The following is a 14,928-nucleotide window of genomic DNA, read 5'->3' as shown; positions in this document are numbered from 1 at the left end:
TTCTGGACAGTAGCTAGGCCGTGTCCCTCTGCCTGCTTTGCAGTTTCCCCTCGCTCCATGGTCCCGGAGTGTTTCACCCGCACTCCTTGCCATCTGGGGCTTGCTGACATGGGCAGCCTCTGCCACTCTTGTCTCTGTTATACTCTCCCTTCTGCTGCAAGAAAGAAACAAACTGCACAGCTCGGAAAACAATCCATCATTTTGTCATAACATTTCCATTTCAAAGACTTCCTTTCCAAGCTTCTCTCTGCCCAAACGCTTCCTCTCATTAGCATAAGAACTGGCAAGGCGTTGAGTGACAGGGGAGGAGAGGGGCTGGGAATAGGGCTCTAGAACTGGGGCCTGGGTCTGTGTCTACTCAGGGGCAGGGCATGGGTGTGCATGTATGTACTTGTGTGCACACGTGTGTGTGCTTGTGCACACATCCACACCTGGTCTTTGTGAGTTCGCATCTCTCAGCACTCATTACTCGTGCTGCATCACAAAGCATAAGCCACCCTCGGGCATTGGCCGAGCCTCCACAGCATTCTAGGAACTCTGCTGGGCGCTGAGGATTCAGGGAGGAAGGACGCAGGCACTGTTCGTCAGCAGTTTAGTCAGAGAGACGAATGTGTCGGTGAACAACTATGACAGGATAAACGCAATGAGAAAGTGGAGGAGTGGGGACCCTAGAAGAGGTGACATTTAGGCTGGCCTTGAAGGAGAAGGAGCACTTCACAGATTAGAGAAGGTGGAAAGGCATAGCAGGCAAAGGGAACAGGGGTCACAAACTCCCAGAGGCGAACCCTGCAGGTGTTGGATGTGGCTGTGGCAGAAGGACAGACGGCAGGCAACACCTGCTGGGTGGACGTGAATGGCCACCAAGGCTTCCTCAGCTGCCCTCTCCCTGCCTGGACCTTATTGGCAGATAGGGCTGGTGGGATATCCAGAAACAAGTCAGCCCCGCCCTGCAAAGGGGCCCCTCTAGCCTTGCAGCTCCTCCCTGGCCTCCAGGTAGGCCCTCTTCATAAGCAAACCACGGATGTGCTGGTGGCCCCTTCCCAAAGCCTCCTCATTCACCACCTGGCACAGCCCTCAGAAGGCCTGACCACAGAGACCAATGTGGACCCCGTCCCAGAACCATAAATCCCTGGTGGCCATTTGTCCTTCTAACATGCACAGAGGAGTTCCAGGGGGACAGCAAGGGAATGGGGAGTGTTCTAGGCCAGCTAGGGGAGGGAGAAGACATGGGGAGTGGGCCTGAGTGTGTGCTGGGAAGGGGGGATATAAAGATCCAAGAGGAAAGAGGAGACAAAGAAAGCAGTGTGACTCTTGTGGACCTTACCAAGTGACTCATTCATTCATTCACCCTACAATACTTGATGGGACATTCCATGAATTGGGCACCTAAGATATCAAAATGAGAGGTGAGGCTGGGCATGGTGGCTCTTGCCTGGGAGGCTAAGGTGAGCGGATCACTCGTGGTCAGGAGTTCAAGACCAGCCTGGATAACACGGTGAAACCCCATCTCTACTAAAAATACAAAAATTAGCTGGGTGTGGTGGCACATACTTGTAATAACAGCTACTCAGGAGGCTGAGGCAGGATAATTACTTGAACCCAGGAGGCAGAGGTTGCAGCGAGCGGAGATTGCATCACTGCACTCCAGCCTGGGCAACAGAGCAAGACTCTGTCTCAAAAAAAAAAAAAAAGAAAAGAAAATGAGAAGTGCACAATGTCTGTGCTCAGTGAGCCCAGAGGCCATGAGGAAGACCAACAGGGAAATAAGTGGTATGACACTAAGCCCCCAGGCTCGTCAGAAGCATCCTGAAGAGATGTGGACTGAGTTGAGGTTTGAAGGTTGATTGAAAGTCAGAGGAGTTGGAGAGGAGTTGGAGAGTAGAGAACATTCCAGGCAGAGAGTTCTCTGCAGCCAGGAACATTGCTGAGGCCACAGGGGTGCTGTGTGGCAACACTGCGTTAGCCCCAGTGGGGAGCTGCCCTCGCTGTGCCCTCACTGCCCTCCCAGGACAGGGGTCACCACCAGGGCCAACTGGGCAGGGGGTGAGACAGGACCCATTTGGTCCAAACCTCACATTTGTGAAAGTCATCATATTTAGACTTTCTACATTATCTCCAGTTGGGATGTGGGTGTTTAAAATACAGTTGCTAAATGTAAACCATTGAAATCTATAACCATTTTTGTAGGCCTATTTGGCATTTTTTTTAATACACAAGAAGTGTAAAAATAATGAAAGTGGCCCAATTCTGTCTCGTTCTTGGCAAACAGGCAGTATTGGTCCTAGATAAGAACAGCGAGGCTTAGAGAAGCCTCCCAAAGCCAGACTGACTCCTTGGCACCTCGCTTACCTCGCTGGCCCAGTAAGATTCAAACGCCAAGGCCTGCCCATTGCTGGCACCACCCTCTGTCCTTGAAGTCCTGGGATGTTCTCCTGTGGCCTCTGCACCATCCCACACCAGTCTCCTTGGCTCACCCAGGAAAGGCAGCTTGAGCCTTCCTGCTCCATTTCACCCCCACAGCCCAGTCTCTTCCCTGCAGGAAGCCATGGGCTGCCTCTGCGGCCAAGCTGGCTGCACAGCCGCAAACCCAGACAGGCGCCACAGGCAGCATCTCCACTGACTGGGTCCCTCATCTCTTTTGTTCTTGGGTACCACTAAGAAAGGCCCCAGGAGATGCCCCCAGATGGCTTGTCGACCGGATCCCATTAGCAGCTGCCACTGGGAGAAAGAAGCCAGAGCCCACTCTGCTCCTGCCCCCCGCTTCACTCCTCATGAAGGACAGTCTCCTTTGTGAAGTGTCACTGCCAAACCTGCAGCTTCCGGTTCCTGGAGACATGGGCATTACTCACCTGCTCCAGCTGTTTGCAGGGCAGGCCCGTGGTCAGCCTGAGGTAGGGGCAGGGGCTAGATAGCAAGATGACCCCACCCCCTTCCCAAGGCCTTGTGAGGGTTGAACTACTATAAAGGTGTGACAAAGTCCGATCACTATATTTGGGGTGGGTGAAGCAGAGGGGACAAGGCTAGCTATGACATAGAAAACAAAGGCCTGGTCAATTGTCTTCCCCCGATGGGAAAAAGACTATCTAAGGCAGGGGGTGCAAAGAAAAAGGGAGGAGGGCTGGAGAGCAGACGCATGCAGCTCCCAGCAGAGCACTGTCCAAGGAGTCTGCCAAGAGGACTCCAAGCACTGTGATCTCCCCAAGAGCTGTCCACCTCCCTCCCAAGGTAGCTGAGGGGCCTTAGAGTAGCATCACTGAGAAAAACTTCCTAAAGCCACCTGAATCCCCTTGTGTGACCCGGTAATATTTGGATTTCCTGCGTGGCTCTCTCCCAGGAGAATGTGCAGGGCTCTGTGAGCCTGGGCACTCACAGGAACTCTGAACACTGGCATCTGGCTTTGACACATCAGCCTCTGAAAGCCAGGTTAACACGAACCTGCCATCGGCAATGGCACCGCTCTGACCACTGCCAGGGCCTGAGCCCCTGAGCCTGAGGATGGGAGTCTGGACTGTGGCTCTCCCCCAGGGTGGATGGCAGCCTAGGACTCAGATCTTTCCCCATGCTCCCTGCTCACTCTTTCATCTGGCTTCTTCCAACAGCACTGAGGCCCCTCTCTTAATACAGCAGAACCTTCCTCTCCAGGGGCCAAGTGTTCCCTTTACATCCCCACACCACCATGCCCTTACCTCTCATTCCCCAGGAACAAATGGGTCTTATCGTGCGAGGGTCTCCCCTCTTGTGCCCTTTGCCCAGAAAGCTCTAGAGTGAAGGACAGGTAGGTAAGGCACGCCTTGGTCTTCCCTGACCTGAGCTTGAAATAGTCATTGCCCTCCAGGTAGCCTCCACCCACCAACCCTTCCCACCATGTAGTTCCTGCTGTGCCCACACACCACCTGGCAGTCACATCCACCCCCACAACGGCGCAGAGCTTCAGCCCCAGTGACAACAAGGGAAGTCAGGCTTTGCAGAAATGCGGTGTTTATTGGGAACCATCTGCCTGCACATCTCATCTATGTGCGTGTGTGTGTTTGGTCACATTGAGGTCCATGGCCAGTGATGCAATCAGACAGCCTTCGCCAGCCCCACACGGTTATTGGTCCTGTCAAAGACACTGTAATACTCCCAGATGAAGACATTCCCCAGGATCCACTGCTGGGAACTATAGTCACCCTGGAAACCACTGGTGCAGAAGCCCTGGTCCTGGGGAAGGCAAGGCAGAGATGACGCTGGTCCCAATCCCATTTGCTGTGCCTAAAGATAGGCGTTTATACCTCACCCACAACTCCTCCTCTTCTGTGACGTCATTTTATCCTTGAAATGACCTTCCCAGATAAACAAGTATTGGATTCATCTCTCAACAGATGAAGAAATTCAGATTCAAAAAATAAAATGACATAATCTAGGATCACCGGGTGGGGTTCTGGCATCCTGAGTCCTGTCCTCTGCACTGGACTCCACTCCCCATCTCTCGTCCTCCCCAGCCCCTGCCTCCTGCTCTCAGCACCTACTGCCCTGATGACCAGCCAGAGCAGGCCTGGGGGGTGGAGGTCAGTGGTCAGTGGGGCCAAGGGCTGAGCCCCACAAAGCCCAGGCTAGCTAAGCAAACCCTGCACAGAGCTCTAGGCCCCGGGACTTAGAAGCTTGAGCAGCGGAGGGAGGTTCCCATAGGGAGATGTGGACCTGCCTACCCCACCCTCCCTGACACCTTGGCACACCGCCCCTCCTGTTCCCCATTTTTCCCAGGATGAGGCTGAAGTGGCCACAAATGAGGCCCCAGGACAACATGGCCCACTCAGAAAGGCCGGTTGGTCCAAACGCATGCCCCTCCATTCTCTGTGGAGTCCATACCACTTCTTATCACCACCATCACTGCCTCACCAGGGGCCCAACTGGGGGGTGGGGGAGGAAGCTGGTGAAGAAGAAGGAGGAGGAGGAGCCCGGGCTTCCCCTCTGAGACTCATACCTGGCTGGTATAGGCGGAGGGTGGCAGGGGGTACTTCTTGCCGTGGATCTCGAAGACAGCCGTGGGAATGCTGCTCAGGCGCCCGCAGTCGATGTCAAACTAAAGAACCAAGGGAGGCCCTCTTAGAAGCGGCGAGTAAGTAAGCTGACTGAAGGGGTTCCGGAAGGGCCCAGAACCCCTCCTGCCACCCCATGAGCCATGGGGTGGGGAGAGGGCCCTGCCTACACCTAGGACCACAGGGAGGCTCTCAGGGTGAGGCCTGGTCCTGAGACATGGTTCTCAAAAGAGTCATAGCTGTCATCAACCCAGGGACAGACCCAAGCTTGGGACCCAAGGGGGTTGCCTCTGTGTCTCCCCATCTAGGCCCAGCCAGAGCTCACAGGGATGCTGGGAGCATTTGGCTGTCAAGGGGAGAAGAACAGACTCGGGGGTGGAGGAGGAAGAAGGGGCACAGCACAGTCCAGCGCGTCAGGGAGGGCACCACTCCCAGAGGAACAGGAGGTCAGACGGCAGCCGCTACCTGAGGCATGGAGGCTCCCACGGCAATGAAGCCAAAGCCAAAGGCCCCAGCAGAGGCCTCCGGAGAAACCCCAACCTCGGCTGGGAAACGGGCTCCCTAACCACCCCTGCATCATCTCGTTTGTGTGAAGGGGCCCCCACTTCAAGGCAACCTTGTGGGGCGGTGGGGCCTGACCTCACCTCATTGTACTGGCCCGCAGTGGCTCCAATGGCCTGCTGGATGTTGAGGATGTTGCCGCCAGGCCCCACCAGCAGGGAGGTGCCGGTGTCCAGGATGGCCTGACAGCCACCGTCACAGGCCACCACCACGCCGTCAATGATGACACTTCCAAAGGTATGCAAGATGGCCTCATCCAGCCCTCCCTCCCCAGGTCCTTCCTACCCTCCCCTGCCAGGATCTGCAGTAGGGAGGGAAGGCCCCCAGCCCTCAGCCCCTTCCCTGGGGCCCCTTCCTGGAGGCCCCAGTACTTTCTGAGCCCAGAGAAAAAACCTAAAACCATTTTCTTCCAATTCAGTGGCTAAATTGAGGACATCCCACTTTCCATGGGACAGAAACTTCAATAAAACAACAAATTCACCCACATTAAGGAGTAGAGCGAGTAGCATACTGGTTGCCTGAGATCTGGTTTCAAGTTTTTGCTCTGCCATTTACTTGCTGTGTGTCTCCAGCAAGTTACCCAACCTTTGTGTACTCAGGCTTCCCTTCTACAAAATGGGTACATTAATAACCCCTTCTTTGACTTCCTCAAGAGGTGGTCCTGAGGTTCAAACTCAATGTTAGTCCATTATAAAGTGGGGTAATAGTAGCACCCACCTCATGGTGTCTCAGTGAGGAATAAATGAGACAGTCATATAATCGTTCAGCACAGCGCCTAGCAGGCAGTAGATGCCCCAGAAAGGCAGCTGGTCTTGTTCATAAAGCACAGGTAGAATATGTGGCACTAGCACCGACAAAGGTCACCAACCTTGGAAGTGTCTAGTTCAGCTTCTCATGGGTGGTCTTACCAGCTACTGTGCTGCAGTCCTCAGAGTGTGGTGGGCTGACGCCCGGGCCCTCACATCCCCACAGCTGGATCAGCCTCTGGCTGAGGCCCACACAGTGTGGCCGCTCACCCACCTGTCCACAGTGAACTGCCAGTATTCTTGCAGTCATGGGTATCCAGTGCAGGGAGCCTGTGTAGTACGACAGATCAATGGCCCTCAGCGTGAGCATGCTCCCCTGGTCATTCCTGAAACCAAGGCGCAGCGCGCTGTTTCAGCGAGGCTCAGAAAAGCGGTGCCCAGCCCCACCCTGGGGCAGACACCACTGAGATCCAGCCCACCCTCCTCCGCCCCACCCCTACCCCACGCTTCAGATGAGGTCTCCAGCCCCCTCTGGCTCCTCCTCCGCTGGGCTTTCTCTGAAGTCAGCGGCAGCATCCTTTCTCCTGAGCGCTGCAGCCCCCACCCCAACCCCAGAGGAAGTAACCCACCCCACAGGTCCTGGGACTGCCAGGCTGTGCCCCAGCCACCCTTGAGTGTGCCCAGCTGTCTCCCTAGGCTCCTACTCCCTGTCAGCCGCCACCCAGGGCTTTCTGCCTTTAGTAGGAAAGGGGGTCTTCAACAAAATCTACACTTTGGATTGAAACTGCCACCCAAACGCAAATCCCCTCTGTTCCTCGTGGGGCCGTGTCTCACACATGGCTGGGAAACACACACTGTACCCACCCACTTCCGGAGCACTGCCTTGGGCTCCTAGAACTCATCCAGCCCATCCCAGCTCCCGGCTCTGGTACACGCTTTCTCCCCAGACGGCACCCACTCCTCCCTCAGCAAAGACTGCCCTGGCTGCCCTCGGCTGGGCCTTCCCCTGTTACTCAGCCTCTGACACACCCAAATCTCCCCTGCTGCACCCTTATCACACTGTTTGATTACAATAGTGTATGTAATGGTGTGCTGTCTGCTTCTCCTGCTAAAATGTTAACTGCCAGTTTGTCTTATCTGCTGATGTGTCCCCATCTCTGGCAGAGCCTCTGCACATAGTAAGGGCCCAGTAAGTATCTACTGGGTGAATAAATGCATGAGTGAATGCACTAATTAGCCCCCTAACTGCATTCTCCTGCCTCGGCCATCCAGCAACTTCTCCTGGGGAGGGTCTCTTTCTCTCCTCCCTGCCATCCTCCCCTCTTTCTGAGCCAAGCTGCATCATCACGGGGTGCAGGGAGGTAGAGTAGGAAGCACAGGCCTGGGAGCAGGAGCCCCAGGCTCCAGGCCTGGCTCAGCCGCCACCACTCAGGGTGTTGGTCCCTCCCCAAGCCTCAGCTTCCTCCCTAGTGAAAGGAGTAGGTTGGACTCCTTTGGAGTCAGCTCTAAAAGTCTGTGCATCTCAGTGACATTAGCAAACGGTTATTGAGGCCCTGCCACTTTGGGAAAAAGAACTTGAAAGCCCCTGTGCAGAGGTGGAATCGGGCTTTGTTTTTTGAGTGCCAGAAAGGAAAGTCAAATTTTGATCCAGTGAACTCTGGCTGTACAAATGACTGTATCATGGGCCTTTGGACAAGAGGTTGGATGTGCCTGGAAAGGAGAAGGTTTGCTTGGATGCTGGTGACTACCCTTGAGTGTCCCCAAGGAGTGGACAGTCCTTACAAGGACATCAAACTTAGGCCCCGGCTGGGCACAGCTCTTACCTACTCATGTAGACTGAGAACAGGTCTTGGGCCACCAGGTGCCTCTGCATCGTGTTGTCAAACACTGGCACTGACTACTCAGAGGCAAGAGAGGGATAGGCCAGCCCCAGGATCCCATCAAACTCGGAGTAGGTGAAGACGTCGCCAGGTTCCTGGGTGCTCAGACCCACAGTCTGGTGGGGGTCCACAATGTTGGAGACCTGCAAGAGAATCATGACCTCCACTAGGTCCTGCAGCCAGAGACAGAAACATCCCAGGCATGAGGGCAGCCAGTCCCAGGTCAGGAGCCAGTATCGCAGTTCCAGTTCCTTTCCTCTTATAGGCAACATAGTTATTTGCCCTTAAGAGACAGAAAAAAACAAAAACAAAAAACAGCAACAAAAAAAACCCACCTCTCCTTTCCCGGCAGTTAGTGCAATGATCTTGAGGAATTGTTCTAATGAGGCAGGGGAGGAGGGGAACAGAGGACAAGGTGGACACAGACCCTGGTGCTCATTGTGCAAAAGTTGGGACTGAGCTCAAAGAAGGGGGCAGAATGAGGGATGCTCCAAGGCCCTCTGCAGGCCTGCAGCCCTCCCACCAGCTATGTCTGGAACACCTCCCAGCAAAAAGCCATAGAAGCAGCAGGAAGTCCAAAAAGAACATGCACACGCTTTATGTCTCCAAGACCCAGGTGTAGGCTCCTGTTCTGCCATGTGCTAACTGTGTGACCTTGGACAAGTACCTGCCCAACCTCAATCCCCTTATCTGTTTAAGGGAATAGTAATACCTACATCTCACATCTCAAGGCAGGGCTTTGACTAAATAATACTAACACTGAACATTTATTGACATTTACTAAGTGATTATTGAATATGGATCAGCACTATGCTAAGAAAGTGCTAACTCCAAAATATTTTCTTAATCTGCCCACTTCTTCAGATGCCCAATGTATCCACCAGCCTACTCTGACCACTACTGCCTCTTGTCCCAAAGTGGTCAGGACACCTCTCCTGCTTCCACATGAGACCCCTGAGGGAAGCTTTCCCCGACCCCCTGCCCAAGGTAGTGAGTGATAGCAGCCCACTGCAGCACTGCTGAGGTTCCAGGCACTGGGCCAGCTCTCCAGTGAAGATGCACTGAAAATAGCAGGGAAGAAAGTGAATGGCTCAGGCCAGCAGAGGAAATAGGACTGGGCAGGGGAATTGGCTGTCAAAGGCCTGACTGCTGGCCAGCTCAGCAAGCAGCCCTGAGGCCTCTGCTGTCTGGCATGGAATCCCGAGGAGGCCTGAGCAGAGCACCCTGGTGGGCACCTGCCCAGTGAGGAAAATACTGTCCACAGAGAAGGACTGTGCCCTTCTGGACTCAAAGCAAGAAAGGTTTCAGCCAGACCCAAGGAAGAGACCAAGGAAAGTCAAGGTGGTCAGCACTGAGAGACACCACCAGAGTTTTCACGTCAGATGGTGCATGCAGAAAGAAAGAAAGAGGCAAACATCCACTGGGTACCTACTATGTGCCCATCACTGTATTAGGTACTTTGGAGGCCAAAAAGAGTCAAGGGAAAGGGGAACCCTTATCCTAGAGGGACAGGTGCTCTCGGACCTGAAAGAAGATGCTGCTCTGACTTATAAAGCATGAGGTCAAACCAAGAGCACTGCCCTGAGAGCCAGAGGCGAGGTCCCACACTCAGCTCCCCCAGGCACCAGCTGTGTGACTTCAGGTAAGTTATCAACTACAAGCCTCGGTTTCCTCATTTGAACAACGAGGATAATGACATCTTCCTCAAAGGGCTGTTGGAAAAACAAAATTTAAAAACAAGACTATACATAGGACACTGAAGAGCTCAGTCCTGGCACCAGCTCAGAATTCGGAACTAACTGTGTCAAGGATGCATGGAAAAGGATCAGGGAGACGGGAACCTGGACCTGAGAGTGCCCTCAGGTGGGGCTCTGGGTGCTGCCACAGGAAGAAGAGGCGGGAGGAAGGGACAGCCGACAGCTGGCTGCTGGCTAAAATCCCTCTCCTTACCTCCTGAGCCACCAGGGCAGGCAGCACCTAAAGGGCTTCTCAGCACAGTGGAGGTGTGGCCCACCGGACCGTGTGGGCAGAGAGTGGCTGGTGGGAAAGGCACAGTGAGCACTGGCCGGCGCAGCACCACTTACGGTGACAGTGTCATAGCCCAGCAAGCCCCGCATGCTGCCTGTGCCATACTGGATGGACAGGGACTTGCCCATGTTCTGTGGGTGGAGGACTTGGACGGATCGAAGCGTTGGTGGTTTTCTGAAACACAGACCCAGAGTTAGTGGGGCCCTTAGAATCTTCTCACCACTCACGGTGCCAGCCAGGGCCGAACCCCTCAGCAGGCCTTGTAAGAATATGGCCTCAATACTGGCAATTCTCTCTATAGAGAATAAGCAGCCCATTCTTTCTAAAGCCTTGGTCCCACAGTTTAAAAAAGAACATGATTCTTTGTTGCTTGCCCTACCTCTCTGACTTTCAGTGCTACCTACGTAGCTTCTACACAAAAATGAAAGGGAAAAGCCCCGCTGAAGATTCCGTGGATGTTTTGCTTTTATCAGCTGAGTAATCTTAGCCAAGTCCCTTTTCCTCTTCAAACCTTAATTTCCCCATCTGTCAAATGGGGATAAAAAGAGCACCAATCTCCCAGGATTGGTGGAGAAATAAATAATTAATGTGTGTTAAGCATGTATTCATTATTTGTAATAGACCTTCTCACTTTACTCTCCCAGCACTCACTGGCACATCATAGCCCCATTTTATAGAAAGGAAAATTCAGCATCCAAAAGGGTAAGCAGGTTGCCTTGGCTCCCAGTAGAGACAAAAAATAAAATAAAGGTCCCTAATTTTTAACTAAAACCCGTGATTTTCAAATCTTCCCAGTCTGTGGCCAGTTGGGAGGATGAGTGAGGAGATCGACCACAACTAGGAGGCTGGGAAGGTCAGAGCCAGCTGTCCTGCCACCCCACGTTTCCCCCCAGCCACCCTGACCACCCTGGCCACTAGGCCAGGGCATCCAAGCATGAGGGGCTGGGTCAGGAGAGGGCGGTCACTCACGACAGGCATCACTGTTGCAGTAGACAGAGGGCACCCAGATATCCGGGGAGCCTGTATCAAACACCAAGGTGAACTTCTGGGGAAGGGTCCCGATGTAGATCTTCCCAAAGTACTGACACTGAAGACAGACGGCACTGGGTCAGAGGTGGGAGCATCAGGGGGCAGGAGGGTGTGGATTAACGGTGGGCGGGGAGCAGGGGCACTTGTGGAGCCCCTGTGCTTTCTGCCCAGAGACCTGGGTGTCTCAAGGAGGGGGAAGATACTGAAGAGGGTTCTTGACCTCCAGCCCTCACCTGGGCTCCCACCCCCAGACACACTTGGCCTCATCCTTCCACAAGTCCTACAACCACTGCTGGAATCAGCCTCAGAAGCAGACCTGGGTCCTAAACTTAAATCCTGCCTGGGTGGGACATGGGCCACCCCTGCCAGGGCAAAAAGAATCTGGACAGAGAGGTGGGGCATCAGCTAGGTGTGGGCTCCATGTTCCGGCCCAAGTGGCCCCTGCCACGCGCGCCTCCTCGCCAGCTCTCCCCACTGTCAGAGCAGAGGCTGGGGGCGGGTGGCGAAGATGACCTAGATAAGAAAATGAGAGCACAGAAGAGAAAAAAGGCTGGTTGTTTACTGGCAAGAGTGACGGCTGAGAGAAAGACAAGCTCCAGGAAAGAACAGGTACCAGGGGCGCTCCTGCCTGGGTCCTGGGTGGGAGGAAGAGCAAGCTGGCAGCCGCGTCCTGGGCAGCTGCAGAATGGCACCCGCTGTCTCCATCCCTGCTGAGCCAGACTAAGACAGAACTTCCCCAGCCCGGAAGGCAGGTGCAGGGTTGGGATGGTAGGCGGCGTTGGGGAGGGGGGCAGTTCATGCACTCTTGGGGGATGTTGTGTGAGGAAGGCGCCTGAGCTCAGACCCTCCTGGTGGTGGCATTCAGAGCTGGCAGGCAGGAGCACTGTCTTTTCTGGGTCGACCAGCCCCTCGTGGAGCTGACTGAGGGCAGGGAGACTGCCTCTACCACAGACTCCAAGATTTCTCGAAGAGAAACAGCTGTGGTGAGGCAGGGGCCGAGGGGCGCTTTCCACTTCGTTAGTGGAAAGGCTGGCAGAGCCACTCACATCCAGGTAGTTGGTCAGAGACTCGCTGGCCACCACCCCAGAGCTGGAGTGCTTCCTGCTGACTGCATAATGGTGATTCCTCAGGAAGTCCTCCAGGAGCCTGCGCTCCTTCAGGGCCCTCCTCAGCGACTTCCCTTTGTGCAGAGGAACCCTGAGGAGATGGGGAAGAATTTGTAAGGAGGGTGTGCATCTCCCGCAGGCTGCCCAGCCTCCCAGAAGTGGGCTCCATAAACCACTCGGTACACTCTGTTCCCAGCCAGCCTTCTGATCAATGGCCCACTGACCCCAGGTCAAGGGCTTTCAAACTTTTTTTAAATCATAACTCAAAGTAAGAAATGTATTTTATATCGGTTCAAAAATCAATGCCTATCCTTGCTAACTGCAATGCACTCTCATATTTTATATTGCTTTCTCTTTTTCTAATGCTGGTGGAGACCCATTAGAGGCATTTTGCAACCCACTAATAAGTTTCGAAACCCGTGGTTTGAAAAGCACTAAGCACATTATCACTCATTCAGTCACCAAATTCTTGCTGTGCCAGATACTGTACAGGGCACAGGGGACACAACACTGGAAAGGACACCGTCTCTGCCCGCCGGGAGCCCACTGTCTGCAGTGAAAAACGGTGTCTCCCACAAGCTGACAAATGCTACGACAATGATCCTGCCCTCTGTCAATACCCTTTCTCCGCTCTCTGGATAGCTTTTTCCCTAAGACGAGTGGAAAATTCTCAAACGGTTTCTCAGCACAGAGCCTGGTCTCACAGGGGCCTCCTGAGGGAGCTCGAGTTTTAGATGATGGAGGCAGATCAACAGTGAAGAGATCAAGAGAGGAAATGCAGAAACTGGTTCTAGACCTGGCACTGCCCTGTCTGTGTCAACTTGGGTGGCTCCCCAAAGCCCTCTGAGTTTCAACTCCCTTAGGTTAACCCCTTCCTTTCCAGCCATTCTCCTGGCCCTGCGTTTGACTAGCCCTATGGCTTAACCTCTCTGGTCCTTAGTTTCCTCTCCTATAGACAGAAGTAGAACTCAGTGATTCCCACAGTCCCTTTTACCTCTAAGAATCACGTGGTCCTCCTCTGTGAGACTGTTGAGATGTGCTTTGAGAGCCATAAATGGCAGCAGTGTTAAAACTCACAGAGAGAATGGATTTTCGCAGGCTGTTCACATCCCAAGTGCTGGGGCAGATAGCGCACCTGGGACCTGGAGGAACTTTATTTTCAGGACTGCCACAAAGATTCCGGGCCAGTTGAAAGCACCCTGACCCCTTTTCTGGGATCCAGCTTTCCCAGGGAGTAATCGGGGCTTCTCTGTGCTCAGGGCTTGACCAGACTCAAACCTGAGCACCTGTAGATTACCACGTGATGTGATGGCAAGAGTGCAAATCCACGGAGGCCAAGTCCTAGCTCCTCCATTACTAGCCATGCAGCCTCGGACAGCTCAGGGACCCTCCTTAGGAACCCTTCCTAAACAACAGTGTCTCATCTGTAAATTGCAAATGATAATATGTACTTAATCCATGAGGATTAGTGGCTTAGTGGAGTGCCTAGCACCTAGGAGCAAACAGCTCAATCAATGTCAGTTATTACTTTGGGAGGAGAACCTGAGATCTTCACCCACAAAGGATTAGTACAATAGGGAACTTTATTTTGTTTAACAAATGCATACATAGCTCTTACAGTGTGCATCGTTTGAAGCATTTTTTAAATATTAACTCCTATAATCCTCACAACATCCCTATGAGATGGACACTACCATTATTCAAATTTTATGAACAGAGGAGGAAACTGAGGCACAGAGAGTTAAGTTAGTGATGGAGCTGGGGATCAAACCCCAGGTAGTTTGACTCCAGAGCCATGCCCTATCCTCCCAGTTGCCCATCTGGCTCCCTGTTCTTTTCACCACACTGTGAAGTGCTGGGGTAAACAGAAGCAAAGGTCCCAGCATGCAAAGGCAAGACTGACAGGGAGCTGTTACCCTGGGAACTTGCAGCACTTCTCCCAAGACTCCCTGGGGGACCAATGGCTGGAAGACCAAGGACAGACCTCCCAGAGAGGACGATGAGATGCCCTTGCCCTCCCCTGGGCTCTGACACTCACCTGGTGATGGCATTGACCTCAGAGAGAGCAAAGACTGCAAGGAATACCACAAGGCCCCTCATCCTGGACTGCAGACTGGCCACTGCTCCAGCCAGAGCCCACTCCACAGCCTTTATAGAGGGAGCCAGGTGTCCTGTGGCTGGAAGCCCAGACTTCAGAGATAGCTCCTGACTGTAGGTCACTCCACAAATACAGTGAGACAACACTCAGGATACCTAAGACCCATGCTGATAAGGACCACTCACACCGAGTGAGGCCATCTGTGGCCCTTATCAGCATGGGGCTTAGGTATCCTGAGTGTTGTCTCAGAATATCTGTATTCCAGGGACTTCAAAGTTGAAGGATATACATGCCTGGTCTTCAGCCTGAGAAATGTCAACATAGGCCTCTCTGACCTGCTCCCCACTTGCAGACGGGACTTCTCGAGCCAACACAGGGGAGGCACTGCCAGAAATGTGTTCCATGTTCCACCTTATGCACTGTAAGAGGCCTGTTCCCCACAGATCCCACTCCAACCTTATC

At 53.6% G+C, this 14,928-nt stretch overlaps 1 long non-coding RNA gene and 1 pseudogene across 2 annotated transcripts, besides 2 other annotated features; one reads left to right on the top strand and one right to left on the bottom strand.

Moving 5' to 3' along the window:
• Positions 471 to 1,437: an enhancer, noted in NCBI's record as "NANOG-H3K27ac-H3K4me1 hESC enhancer chr1:111036419-111037385 (GRCh37/hg19 assembly coordinates)". NCBI's record gives its function as "activates a minimal SCP1, AML or CMV promoter by ChIP-STARR-seq in primed H9 embryonic stem cells {active_cell/tissue: H9 hESC(primed)}" and the evidence as "EXISTENCE:reporter gene assay evidence [ECO:0000049][PMID:30033119]".
• On the bottom strand, positions 3,965 to 14,468 carry CYMP (chymosin, pseudogene; annotated as a pseudogene). Its single transcript, NR_003599.2, has 9 exons — positions 14,407 to 14,468; positions 12,309 to 12,459; positions 11,203 to 11,320; positions 10,290 to 10,407; positions 8,149 to 8,348; positions 6,600 to 6,711; positions 5,663 to 5,807; positions 4,964 to 5,062; positions 3,965 to 4,200 (listed from the first exon to the last, which is right to left on the bottom strand). The product of NR_003599.2 is annotated as a chymosin, pseudogene (transcript).
• CYMP-AS1 (CYMP antisense RNA 1) lies at positions 4,976 to 7,554 on the top strand. Its single transcript, NR_108042.2, has 2 exons — positions 4,976 to 5,098; positions 5,327 to 7,554. It is a non-coding gene; the product is annotated as a CYMP antisense RNA 1 (long non-coding RNA).
• Positions 11,377 to 11,955: an enhancer, noted in NCBI's record as "H3K4me1 hESC enhancer chr1:111025901-111026479 (GRCh37/hg19 assembly coordinates)". NCBI's record gives its function as "activates a minimal SCP1, AML or CMV promoter by ChIP-STARR-seq in primed H9 embryonic stem cells {active_cell/tissue: H9 hESC(primed)}" and the evidence as "EXISTENCE:reporter gene assay evidence [ECO:0000049][PMID:30033119]".
• Positions 14,469 to 14,928: the final 460 nt, after the last annotated feature.

This window comes from Homo sapiens, chromosome 1 (assembly GCF_000001405.40).
Source record: "Homo sapiens chromosome 1, GRCh38.p14 Primary Assembly".
In the NCBI taxonomy this organism is placed as follows: domain Eukaryota; kingdom Metazoa; phylum Chordata; class Mammalia; order Primates; family Hominidae; genus Homo; species Homo sapiens.
Note: the sequence above shows the minus strand (reverse complement) of the source record. Positions and strands in the feature narration are given on the sequence as shown.